At 44.9% G+C, this 1,341-nt stretch overlaps 1 pseudogene; it reads left to right on the top strand.

Annotated features, from left to right (window-relative positions):
- Positions 714 to 996, top strand: CPDP1 (carboxypeptidase D pseudogene 1; annotated as a pseudogene).

Here is a 1,341-nt window from a genome sequence, read left to right as displayed (position 1 = left end):
GAGTAGTTTGGACTACAGGTGCGCACCAGCACGCCTGGCTAATTTTTTGGATTTTAGTAGAGACAGGGTTTCACCATGTTGGGCAGGATGGTCTTAATCTCCCAAAGTGTTGGGAGGCCCGCCTCGGCCTCCCAAAGTGTTGGGATTACAGGCGTGAGCCACCACGCCTGGCTGAAGTCATATATTTAATCTTAAAAACCCAAGCTGGGTGTAGTAGCTCATGCCTGTAATCCCAGCACTTTGGGAGGCCGAGGTGGACAGATCATTTGGGTCAGGAGTTTGACACCAGCCTGGCCAGATGGTGAAACCCTGTCTCCTCTAAAAATACAAAAATTATCTGGGCATGGTGGTGGGCACATTTAATCCCACATACTCAGGATGCTGAGGAAGAAGAATAGCTTGAATCTGCCAAGAGGCAGAGGTGGCAGGGAGCTGAGATCAGGTCACTACACTCCAGCCTGGGAAATAAAGACTCCATCTCAAAAAAAAACATTATTATAAAAAACCCATACATATTTTGTAGTATACCTGTGTCTGTTCTTCATTAATTAACATATTAAAAATAATAAATTACTCGAAATTAAAACTCTGTTTCTTTAGGAAGCTGCACCACATTTATCCCAAGGATTCTCACGTTCTCTGCACACCTGCCTTCCCAGGGTTTGGGTACTCCAGCTGCAGGAGTGTGGTTCTGATCTGTCTCCTTTATCATAGGTATAATCCAGTTACCAAGAATGTGACTGTCAAAAGTGAAGGCCTATTCAGGTCATCTTCACACTTGTTCAATCCTCAACAATTTCAAACAATGAATGAGAGAAAAGAAAGGCAGCTAGCACCAGCACCACTGATGCCAGCGATCCATCTACTAAAGAGTTTGAAACTTTCATTAAAGACCTTTCAGCTGAGAATAATTTGGAAAGCCTCATGTTATGTTCCTCCTCAAATCTGGCTCTTTTTCCATACCATTCCTACAAAGAGACATCATGGTTCATTAGAAGACATGACCAAAATCAACTAGGGAAGGGCAGCCATCAAAGACTTTATTCTCTTGAAGAAGGTGTTCTTGGGGGCTGTAAGGAGCAGGCAGAAGACTTTATTGCATGTGTGGTTAGGTGACAGTGACCAACAGTTTTCACTGGCAACTGGGATCAAGAGTGACCCAACCTCCTACTCATGCACCTCTCTCCCTGTCTCTTTACCTTTTACATCACTCTCTCTCTCTCCCTTCTCTTCTTCTCAGCCTCCTCTGTCTCTCTCCCCATCTCTCTTCCTCTCGCTCTCACTCCCTTCTCTCTCTCTCTGTCTTTCATCTCCACTTCTCTCTCCCTCCTCATCTCCCTC

Source organism: Homo sapiens, chromosome 17 (genome assembly GCF_000001405.40).
Source record: "Homo sapiens chromosome 17, GRCh38.p14 Primary Assembly".
In the NCBI taxonomy this organism is placed as follows: Eukaryota; Metazoa; Chordata; class Mammalia; order Primates; family Hominidae; genus Homo; species Homo sapiens.
Note: the sequence above shows the minus strand (reverse complement) of the source record. Positions and strands in the feature narration are given on the sequence as shown.